At 42.4% G+C, this 12,165-nt stretch overlaps 2 annotated features.

Annotated features, from left to right (window-relative positions):
- Positions 1,345–2,108: an enhancer, noted in NCBI's record as "NANOG-H3K27ac-H3K4me1 hESC enhancer chr14:30833197-30833960 (GRCh37/hg19 assembly coordinates)". NCBI's record gives its function as "activates a minimal SCP1, AML or CMV promoter by ChIP-STARR-seq in naive and primed H9 embryonic stem cells {active_cell/tissue: H9 hESC(naive and primed)}" and the evidence as "EXISTENCE:reporter gene assay evidence [ECO:0000049][PMID:30033119]".
- Positions 10,590–10,639: a silencer, noted in NCBI's record as "silent region_5647". NCBI's record gives its function as "represses an Ori minimal core promoter by ATAC-STARR-seq in GM12878 lymphoblastoid cells {active_cell/tissue: GM12878}" and the evidence as "EXISTENCE:reporter gene assay evidence [ECO:0000049][PMID:35858748]".

Genomic DNA, 12,165 nt, shown 5'->3' with positions numbered 1-12,165 from the left:
TGTATATTCTGTTGATTTGGGGTGGAGAGTTCTGTAGATGTCTATTAGGTCTGCTTGGTGCAGAGCTGAGTTCAATTCCTGGGTATCCTTGTTGACTTTCTGTCTCGTTGATCTGTCTAATGTTGACAGTGGGGTGTTAAAGTCTCCCATTATTATTGTGTGGGAGTCTAAGTCTCTTTGTAGGTCACTCAGGACTTGCTTTATGAATCTGGGTGCTCCTGTATTGGGTGCATATATATTTAGGATAGTTAGCTCTTCTTGTTGAATTGATCCCTTTACCATTATGTAATGGCCTTCTTTGTCTCTTTTGATCTTTGTTGGTTTAAAGTCTGTTTTATCAGAGACTAGGATTGCAACCCCTGCCTTTTTTTGTTTTCCATTTGCTTGGTAGATCTTCCTCCATCCTTTTATTTTGAGCCTATGTGTGTCTCTGCACGTGAGATGGGTTTCCTGAATACAGCACACTGATGGGTCTTGACTCTTTATCCAATTTGCCAGTCTGTGTCTTTTAATTGGAGCATTTAGTCCATTTACATTTAAAGTTAATATTGTTATGTGTGAATTTGATCCTGTCATTATGATGTTAGCTGGTGATTTTGCTCGTTAGTTGATGCAGTTTCTTCCTAGTCTCGATGGTCTTTACATTTTGGCATGATTTTGCAGCGGCTGGTACTGGTTGTTCCTTTCCATGTTTAGCGCTTCCTTCAGGAGCTCTTTTAGGGCAGGTCTGGTGGTGACAAAATCTCTCAGCATTTGCTTGTCTGTAAAGTACTTTATTTCTCCTTCACTTATGAAGCTTAGCTTGGCTGGATATGAAATTCTGGGTTGAAAATTCTTTTCTTTAAGAATGTTGAATATTGGCCCCCACTCTCTTCTGGCTTGTAGGGTTTCTGCCGAGAGATCCGCTGTTAGTCTGATGGGCTTCCCTTTGAGGGTAACCCGACCTTTCTCTCTGGCTGCCCTTAACATTTTTTCCTTCATTTCAACTTTGGTGAATCTGACAATTATGTGTCTTGGAGTTGCTCTTCTCGAGGAGTATCTTTGTGGCGTTCTCTGTATTTCCTGAATCTGAACGTTGGCCTGCCTTGCTAGATTGGGGAAGTTCTCCTGGATAATATCCTGCAGAGTGTTTTCCCACTTGGTTCCATTCTCCCCATCACTTTCAGGTACACCAATCAGACGTAGATTTGGTCTTTTCACATAGTCCCATATTTCTTGGAGGCTTTGCTCATTTCTTTTTATTCTTTTTTCTCTAAACTTCCCTTCTCGCTTCATTTCATTCATTTCATCTTCCATTGCTGACACCCTTTCTTCCAGTTGATCGCATCGGCTCCTGAGGCTTCTGCATTCTTCACGTAGTTCTCGAGCCTTGGTTTTCAGCTCCATCAGCTCCTTTAAGCACTTCTCTGTATTGGTTATTCTAGTTATACATTCTTCTAAATTTTTTTCAAAGTTTTCAACTTCTTTGCCTTTGGCTTGAATGTCCTCCCATAGCTCAGAGTAATTTGATCGTCTGAAGCCTTCTTCTCTCAGCTCGTCAAAGTCATTCTCCATCCAGCTTTGTTCTGTTGCTGGTGAGGAGCTGCGTTCCTTTGGAGGAGGAGAGGTGCTCTGATTTTTAGAGCTTCCAGTTTTTCTGTTCTGTTTTTTCCCCATCTTTGTGGTTTTATCTACTTTTGGTCTTTGATGATGGTGATGTACAGATGGGTTTTTGGTGTGGATGTCCTTTCTGTTTGTTAGCTTTCCTTCTAACAGACAGGACCCTCAGCTGCAGGTCTGTTGGAATACCCTGCCGTGTGAGGTGTCAGTGTGCCCCTGCTGGGGGGTGCCTCCCAGTTAGGCTGCTCAGGGGTCAGGGGTCAGGGACCCACTTGAGGAGGCAGTCTGCCGGTTCTCAGATCTCCAGCTGCGTGCTGGGAGAACCACTGCTCCCTTCAAAGCTATCAGACAGGGACATTTAAGTCTGCAGAGGTTACTGCTGTCTTTTTGTTTGTCTGTGCCCTGCCCCCAGAGGTGGAGCCTACAGAGGCAGGCAGGCCTCCTTGAGCTGTGGTGGGCTCCACCCAGTTCGAGCTTCCTGGCTGCTTTGTTTACCTAAGCAAGCCTGGGCAATGGCGGGCGCCCCTCCCCCAGCCTCGCTGCCGCCTTGCAGTTTGATCACAGACTGCTGTGCTAGCAATCAGCGAGATTCCGTGGGCGTAGGACCCTCTGAGCCAGGTGTGGGATATAGTCTCGTGGTGCGCCGTTTTTTAAGCCGGTCTGAAAAGCGCAATGTTCGGGTGGGAGTGACCCGATTTTCCAGGTGCGTCCGTCACCCCTTTCTTTGACTCGGAAAGGGAACTCCCTGACCCCTTGCGCTTCCCAGGTGAGGCAATGCCTCGCCCTGCTTTGGCTCGCTCACCGTGCGCGCACCCACTGGCCTGCGCCCACTGTCTGGCGCTCCCTAGTGAGATGAACCCGGTACCTCAGATGGAAATGCAGAAATCACCGTCTTCTGCGTCGGTCACGCTGGGAGCTGTAGACCGGAGCTGTTCCTATTCGGCCATCTTGGCTCCTCCCCCTCAAGGCTTCTTTTAGAAGCTACATTCTCTAAAAATTCTCAGTGCTTCTCTCCCTGGGATGTCATTTTGTCCTTTCAGAATTCCTGCAGGATTTCCCACTTTTCTCTCTCCGGCTGTAAGTCCACTTTGTTCCGGGTTGCATTCTGTCCTATCTGCTTCCTATTTGCAAGCTTGCCTTTACATCCCTGCAATCCCTGGCACAAGTCCTTGTTTTTATTAGCTTCTGAACAAATTCTGGGGTCTTGATGTTCTCTTTGAGTCTGACATGAAAGCCCCCTAAGTTAGTTTTCTTGAGTTAGGGACTTGCTCCAATCACTTGGGATTTTTTTTCTAATCTGTAACAGTTACACTAATCGGATTTAAAACTGACTGAACACTTTTATTATAGCCTGCCAGAGGTATGCATTAAAATTTAACACTGTTTCCTCTTTGAACAGAAAGAAAGTACTTATGGTGTGATTATATAGGATTAGAATTTTTCATTAAAATGGATTTTAAACACTTCAGCAAGTAAAAGGCAGAATCCTATTTAATGAGTTTTTAAAGGTAGTGAAAGTAAGCAAAGTTGCACAGAACCGTTTCTCCTCCCCTCGCATAAAGCTGCTCTTTCACTGCGATGTACCGTGCACATATCACGGCCTTATGACTTGTCAAGGGGTGCTATTTGCACAGAGCAACAGAAGACAAAGCCTGTTATAAAACGAAGGAAAGATTATACAGAAATCTAAGAGCAGATCAGAATGCTTCACAGCCTTGAGGATGGAGAATATCTGAATTATAACTAATGTGATTTTATAAACTTGACACTTTGAACTGAGGAGGGTGCTTTATGATTTGTGATCATCTTAAGAGGCTTAAAGCCAGGCGTTGCTATAGAAAGCTAAAGGTCCAAGGATTTGAAGGCAGTTACTGAGGCCTAGAGTCATCGTTCAGTGTGGCTCATAGTGGTGGATGGGTGCCTGGAGCCTTCCCTGTGAGGCCTGGTTCTTTTGGAGGTTGGCAGTTGTAGTGCCATTTAATACTGCCCCAGTGGCCACGTGCAGATGCAGAAGTTGCAGATTGCAAAGCCCAGGCCTCTGAAAACAGGAAATCCAGCCAAAATATTTAACCAAGTAATTTTATCACTGCCTTTGAAGGGCTATGGTATGCATTTTAGGTGGGTTCAGGAGCACATGTATATCAAATAAAGGACTTGGGTTGAAATGAATCTGCCTCAGATCTGTTACCTAGCAAGATCTAAAGAGTCAATTTTCTAAGCATTTCTGAAACAGGAGTTGTTGAAATCGGAGCAAGGCTCTCAGCGGCAACAGTTTAAGTTTTCTCTGATGTGAACTTTGATAGGAACAGAGTGGCTATTGGAAATGTTTTGTGTACATTCTCATTTATGGCTAATTAGAAATATTTTTGTGATTGGATTTGGGGAAATGTGTCATGGGTGTCGGCACACTGCAGTGCACAGTTAATAAGAATTGGCACTAAAGTCACATGTATCATACTTGGAAGCAAACTTTGATGAAGAAACCGTTTCAGAATTGTTGTGTATACATTCACATTTATAACTAATTAGAAGTATTTTTTAATCTGGTATCCAGGAAATGTGACATGAATGTCAGCAAAATGTACTATATGATCAGTTACATTTCAATTAAGAAAAATAAAATCACTAACATGAACTTGCATGCCTCATGAAGAACTGGGGTGACCAGAAAGCTGGGAAGTGAATTCTTCAGGCCAGGTAGGACACCTTGGGGGATGGGGGAGTTTGTCAGACCTACCCTATCTCACCAGCATCCAAGTGGAATCTTTGAAGCGTTTTATTCTTTTCTTTTTCTACTTCCTCCAACTCTTCCTCCTCCTCTCTTCCCCCTGCACCCTTTCTGTTTGCCTTCTTCCCCCTCTTCCTCCAACTCTGTCTACCCCCCTTTCTTCCTTCTCTCTTCTTTTTTTCTTCCTCTTCTTTCTTTCTGGAAATAGAAGCTGCCTTACCTGCCAGAGTAGAATAGCTATGTACAGATGCTCATACAGGCCATGACTACAGTGAGGCATATCTTCTCTCCCTGACAAACTAAAGGTTGTAGCATTTAAGCCCTTCAGTTTTCCCCTTTTAACAATCAATTAAAAAGAAATTATAACAGCTAGCCTTTGTGTAGCATTTACTATGGGCCAGGCACCATTCTAAAAACTTTACCTATATTTTTCACTTAATTTTCTTTCCTTCTGTTTTTTCCAGGCTGGAGTGCAATGGCACGATCTCTGCTTACTGCAATCTCTGCCTCCCGGGTTCAAGTCATTCTCCTGTCTCAGCCTCCTGAGTAGCTGGGATTACAGGGGTGCACCACCACGCCTGGCTAATTTTTGTATTTTTAGTAGAGATGGGGTTTCACCATGTTGCTCAGGTTGGTCTCGAACTCCTGACCTAGTGATTTGCCTGCCTCAGCCTCCCAAAGTGCTGGGACTACAGGCATGAGCCACCACACCCAGCCACTTAATTTTCTTAATAGCCCAGTGAAGTTGGTACTACATTATTATTATCTCCATACACATGGGGAAACAGAAGCCCAAAGAAATGAAATAACTCACCCAATGCCACACAGTCATAAGTGACAGAGCCAGAATTTAAATGTGGCCATCTGGCCTCAGGGTCCATGGTCTTAACCACTATGCTAAACTGTTTCTTCAGTTTTTGTCTATATATTTGTTGCTTTAATATTTTTTGGATTTTATAATTAATCTATACTTATTATAAATTTAAAACAAGAAAAGAGTGAAGAAAGTAAATGCCTACCTGAAGCACCACATTCCAGATATAATTACCATTAGCATGTTGACAACTATTGTTCATTCATCATAGGCCTGGATTCATGTATGTGTGATTTTACATGAATGGAGTCATATCATCATGCCATACATGTGGCACTTTTAAGGCCCTCTTTGGCTTTGTTTTCCTAACCTCCTTCCCTTCATTTCCACACCCCCTACCTCATTTAGCAAATGAGTAATGTACCCTTTTATAGTTCACATATATGAAATTAAAAATAGCTATGCTTAGATACAGATAGAAGGTTGAGTTTTTTTTTTTTTTTTTTTCCTGCATCTTGCTTTTCTTACTCAACAGTATGTCATGGAAATTTCCCAAATCAACTGGATTGATTTCTCTTACTCTTCATTTTTTTCTTTTTTAGACAGAGTCTTACGCTGTCACCTGGGCTGGAGTGCGGTGGCACGATCTCAGCTCACTGCAACCTCTGCCTCCCAGCTTCAAGCGATTCTCCTGCTTCAGCCTCCCGAGTAGCTGGGATTACAGGTGGCCGCCACTACGCCCAGCTACTTTTTGGTATTTTTTAGTAGAGATGGGGTTTCACCATGTTGGCTAGGCTTGTCTCAAACTCCTGACCTCGTGATTCGGCTGCCTCGACCTCCCAAAGTGCTGGGATTACAGGTGTGAGCCACCGCGCCCAGCCCTCTCACTCTTCTTAATGGTTGCTGATATGGTTTGGCTGTGTCCCCAGCCAAATCTCATCTTGAGTTGTAGCTCCCATAATTCCTATGTCCTGTGGGAGGGACCCAGTGGGAGACAACTGAATCATGGGGGTAGTTTTCCCCATACTGTTCTCGTGGTAGTGAATAAGACTCAGGAGGTCTCATGGTTTTATAAGGGGCCTCCCCTTTCACTTGGCTCTCATTCTCTCTTGCCTGCCACCATGTAAGATGTGCCTTTTACCTGCCACCATGATTGTGAGGCCTCCCCAGCCACGTGGAACCGTGAGTCCATTAAAGCTGTTTTTCTTTATAAATTACCCAGTCTCAGATATGTCTTTATCAACAGTGTGAAAAGGGACTAATACAGTCGCATATTTCAGTGTATGGTCAATTTTATATATTCCTCCAATAATAAAATCCTGCCAACTTAATATTTCCCTGTAGGTAGTGTTTTAGCTTGGTTTCCTACTACAGCAGAGCCAGAGATGAGGACTTGCCTGTGTGCAATCACATAGGGTAGGTATTTTTCATAGGAGGAAAGTAAGGCTCAGAGATGTGCTGAAGTCACTTGTGCCAAATCACACCTTCGATACATGGCAAGTCTGGCAATCAAACCCCAAACCTCCAAAGCCTCAGCATCTTCTGTCAAATCAATGGGCTCAAGTCTCCGTTATTTCTTTTTCTTGGGTTGTTTTTAAATCATTTCATTTCCATGAAAATATATTATGGGTTGACAAACTGTGAATATTCAAAGACTTTGCATTATGTTTCCAAAATATACTGCCTTTTCTCAGTCATTTAAACGAGAGTGTACATGAAAGCACGTCATTAAATAGAAGAATGAAATTATTTTTGAAAACTGTTAACTAAAGAGCCTACCTTTATGTCTTTCACCATAACTGTTAAGCCTTACAACAAATAATGTGTTTCCTTATCCACTTGGGAGCAGGGCTTTCTATGTGTTTCTTCTGAAGTGAAGAGAGTTACCTTCTGGCTGTTGAAAATAATGTGGTAGCTGAGGAAATTAATGGGAAAAATAAAGCATGGGCTCAGTGTGTTTGGCTTAGGCTTGGGTTCCAACTGGCCCATGAATTATGAGACGCGAATGTGCTAAAGGATGAATCTTTCATTAACAATGTGTAATCACTTGGGAAGACTTGCTCCCCAGGACAGTACACAAGTGATTGTCTCGCAGAAATGGTCTCAAGTCACAAATTAAGAGTTATTTGGAGAAGGCACCACGCTCTTCTCTATGCTTGAATGCATCAAGTTGGGCTAGGTAGAGCAGCATTCCACCTGTGAATGCCAACTGCAAGTCCAGGGGCCTTCAAAGCTGAAGTGATCTATGCCAGGCACCTATGCACCTCTATCTCTCTTCTAGTGCTATGTTGCCCACTACCACAAAACAGCTACCATTTTATTACATCTCACAGTTCCGTGGGTCAGGAATTCAGGCAATTCTGCTCCCTGTGCTTTAACTGGCATAACTTGGTGGCATTTGGCTGGTGTCTGGTCTGGCCTGGAGGGTTCAGGACAGCTTTACTCACATGTGTGATGCCTTGGCAGGCTCAGCTGGGCCTTTGTCCCTTGCCATGTAATCTCAGGGCCTTGTCTATGGTTTCTCCATCAGGATAGTTGGGCTTTTTATTTGTGGCATGTAAGTGGAAGTGGAAGTGGAGTCGGCATTCCTTCCACGGTATTCTGTGGGACAGAGGAGTTACAGAGCCCACCCAGATTCAAGGGGATGAAACAGAGATTCGACCTCTTGATGGGAGGTGTGTCAAAGAATTTGGCACCATCTTCATTCTACCTCAATCTATCCTTTCCCCTATTGTTAAGATACAGGAAGAGAAAGAAGGAAAATATCAGGTAAAGCAGTCCCAGACAGACTCTTTGCCTGGTCTGTCTCAGCCTGGAGGAAGAAGTGGAGGACCTAGGCCATGCATAAGCTCCAGCAGTATATTGAACTTGGGTGATAAAGCACCCAAGTACACCTCTGCTCCCTGTTGTATTGGCCTCTGCAATGCTAAAATGTTGTAAGCTGAGATTCCCAAGATAAGAAGGCTGTGATCCATATCTTTAACCTGAGCGGCCGTGTGGCCCCTTCGCGGCACCTGCAGTGAGCAGCTGGCGAGCAGGAACACAGCCACATGGCTTCAGGAAGAGCTTCCCGCTACAAAGTGGTGAACATCCTGCGCTTCATCATCCAGGGAGAAATTGTTCCAAAGTAGGAGGAGGGAGAGAGGTTCAGTAACGAGGATAAAAAACACCACTTGCCTTCGCTTAACAGAGAAATTGGGGATGAATTGGAATTTGGGGATGAATTCTACTATTTTGCTTGAAGATCAGTTTGCATCAAAAGAGCAGAAAATATGAATTTAGCCAAAGATGTCATCTCAGCATGATTGGTGCAAAAATGTCACTTTCCAGCTTTCTGATATGTAATGCATTACGGCATTAGGGACTAGAATGTAGGGTGTTGGGGATCAGAATGCCTGGAATTGAATTCTAACTTCAAAAGTTGCAGCAGTGTGATTTCTTAGTTCCTTCATCTGTAGAATGGGAGTAATAATAATAATAAATAATGATAATGGTAATCATAAATACTCTTTACATAGGATTGATGTAAGTATTAAATGAGATGGCACGTAGAAAATTCTTAGCACTGGGCTTGACGCTTTTTAAGGGGCCAACACGCTGAAAAGTTTCCATAAATGTCAGCTTTTATCGCTGTTATTATAGCAATAACCCCCATCCTGATGGTGGAACATAAGAGCACTAGAGGCCTGGAGAAAGGGAGGGAGGGGTTGAAATTCAACTAAGACTTCTCATTCCTCTCTCTCTGGTTATATGCACTGGGGTATAATGTGATCTATAAACTCTTCTGTCTGTTGACATGCCAGCAAATGATATGTCTCTCTGATCTACTTAGGTTTTCAAGCTTAATGTAAGGGCCCAGGTTCTGGGGGCTTAGGGCTGTTCTGGCCTTTACAAACCTGCTACATACTCTAATAAATAAAACATTCACTCAGAGAGTCTGAGAGCTGGGGAGCCACATTGCGTGCGAATCCAGATCGGTGGCTGAGCTTCTTCCAGGTTGAAGTTAATCATAACTGACATGTTAGAGTAAAACTACTTTATAAAATCAATATTAAATTTACAACCTTTGACATCCTGGGACATCAAAGATAAAGGGGAAATAAGCCATGGAATAAACAGTCCTCCAGCTATACCAGCTGCTAGAGGGGATGGGGAGATGTGGGAAACCAGGAGACCAAATCGTACACTGTTAGTATTGTTTTTGTACCAACGTCTCAACATCAATAAAAACATTAAAAAAAATCACACAGACATTTACACACAGAGAAGAAAGGGAAGCAGAAAGGAGAGCTCCAGCAAACCAAAAGACCTCCAGAATCACTCCGGAGGGGAGCAGCTAGATCCTTCTCTGACAGCAAGGCTTGATTTCCCTGGACAGTGGAATGCTGCAATCACAGAGTGAACATCAGTTTATGAGGCTGGCAGAACCCCCGCTGAGACCCTAACCTATCTGACCAGGATCCCTGCTCTAATAAAAGTCTGCTCCTCTCCAGTAGGTCCTCCTTTTAGTCACAGGGACCCAAATATAGCAGAAGGAGACAACTGGAAGCAGAGTCAAACTACAAAGATCACAAGGTGAGAATGTGTTCTGCTGAGCACTCCTCAGTGGTTACTGACCCCCAGCTGTTCATGTCTGGGTAGGATTCTTAACTCTGGAAAGGGGACTTTAATGGTGACTACAGAAGCAGAACTACCTGAGTCCTACCGGGAGGAATTGGTCTGGGGTGGAAGACCCTGCAGAACCCAGCGCTGGCAGGATAATGAAGGACTTTCTAAGTCCCTTGCATCCGGAAGCATTTTGTCCCAAGGACTAGTCAGAGAACTGTTTCTCTTCTGTGATGGGTCTGAGTTCGTTGGATAAATTAGGAAGCGTTCTAGGAAAGGTGGAGCAGGAGAAGGCAAAGGCAGGATGCTTGGCTGTTTAAATAAACTCTTGCCTAGCAAGTTCTACAGTTCTTTTGGAAAAACAGCTTGAGTTTATGCCCTGGCTCACCTGCACTCAAGGTTGTAAGTTTGAACTTACCAAAATAGATGTTTGATTCAGTGTTTCCAACTATGAAACCTTTAAGGCGAATGGCAGCAATTTCATTTTTACTCCACCCCCATCCTCACTTCCGGGCTTCCCTGGCTCCTGTCTAACCCTTTAAAGAGAGTGATTTGAACTTCTGTGCTTTGTGGCCATTAGAGGTCATAGGGGTATTTTTGTCTTGACCTTTGGAATTTTTGTGGTTGTGTGGGCAGAGATAGGCACACGAAGACCAAATCTATCAGTAGCATTTAGCTTTCATCTGCTCCCTGAATGCAAAGCAAAACATAACTAAGTCTCTCCATTTAAAATGCCACAGAAACCAACTCACCCAAAGCAAGCAGGTCAAAGATTAGGAAATGAGCAGCTGTCGGTAGGTCTTGTTGACATGTGTGAGTGTGAGTGTGTGGGAGCCTGTGGTGTGATAGATGAGAAAAACAAACGCCTCCTTGAGCCTGATCTGTATAGAGTGTGAACAATTACCTCAAGTATGTAAAGTGATTTTGCTTCTTTGATTAAGAGGTAAACTCCGTGAGTTTCTAGAATTGCGTTCAGTGCCTAGAATATGCTATTATTAGTAGTAGTAGTAGTATTAAGCTTTTGGTGAGTAAATGAATTGGAGTTTCCTAGATAAGTTATGGGAGGAAACTAAGACTTATTCAGGGCTTAATCTGTATCAGGCACTATAGTAGGCCCTGTAATTATGCTTTCTTACAATACTCCTGTATTGGTTTTTTATTGCATCTCTAACAAGTTACCACAAATGTAGTAGCTTAAAACAATGCTTGGTCATGGGAGCATTCCAGGTGTCAAGTTGGTTACTGCTCATTCTGACTACTTGAGAATAATATGTGGGGAATAGAAAAATGAAAACAAGATTGGTGTAAAATTTAAAAGAAAAAAATTAGTACTGAGTAATTGCTTATAACATGAAACCACTAGGGAACATACTTGATTGCATTAAAAAAGGTGGTTTGGAGTTTCTGTGGGTTTGATGGAGGCCTCTGCCAGAGACTAGGTAGGAAGCTACCCTAATAGCTGATGCTCAATCCGCTCTCCATTTTTATAAGGATGCAAAATAAAAACCAACCTTCTTGAATTTCATTCTCTGGTGTTAATAGGATAGAACAGCAATGACATAGCAGAAAAAATGAGGATATGATTTACAAGTGAACCAGATGATTCCCATTTCATCTCACTGAATTGTTATCTTTTGAAGAGTTCCTTTTTGTGGATTACAAAGAGAATGTAATCACTTTAGAATTCCCCAGTGAGTTTCATAATGAACTCTACTTACATTGTGTTGACACTAATAGTAACTATAACCGTGATCTTCAAATCCCCATGTAGGAGGCAGGTTTATTGAAATTATAGCATGGACCACAAATTCATTTAAAAACATACTTTTAAAAATCAGTTTTATGCTGACCAAAAGCCATTTAAACCAGTTTCATTTACAAATATGAATGTTATATTATAATGAAATCAGTGTAGTGTAACTCAGGAAAAATTACATTTTGCTGACAAGTTTTGCTTCGTTTAGTTTCAAATCAAATTAAGAAACTAAGTAAACCAAACATTTATATGACTGACTCATACTGTGAAAAAAATGTGATCACAGCTTCACATCACAAAACTATTAAATTCTGTTCAAGTAATTTCCTCTCAGCATTTCCTTTCCTCATTTAAGGTTTCCTTCTTAACCAAAAAGTATCAAATTAGGAAGCTTAAATGACTGAAGTATTAACACTCTCAGGAAAAGAATGATTACCATTCGGAATGGGGGCTAAACCTCACCAACCTACCCTACCAAGGTAAATTGTTATAAAGGAACAGGAACACAGGGGTTTTGGGGGGTTGTTGTTATATTCTTTTCTAATAGTTTGATTTTTGATTTGAAGTTTCTTTAAAATTAATCCTTTAAAATCCTTTCCATCAATGCACAATTCAGCAACTTCAAAGAACAAAATGGCCAGACAATTTTATCTTTAAAGACTA

This window comes from Homo sapiens, chromosome 14 (assembly GCF_000001405.40).
Source record: "Homo sapiens chromosome 14, GRCh38.p14 Primary Assembly".
Lineage (NCBI taxonomy): Eukaryota > Metazoa > Chordata > Mammalia > Primates > Hominidae > Homo > Homo sapiens.
Note: the sequence above shows the minus strand (reverse complement) of the source record. Positions and strands in the feature narration are given on the sequence as shown.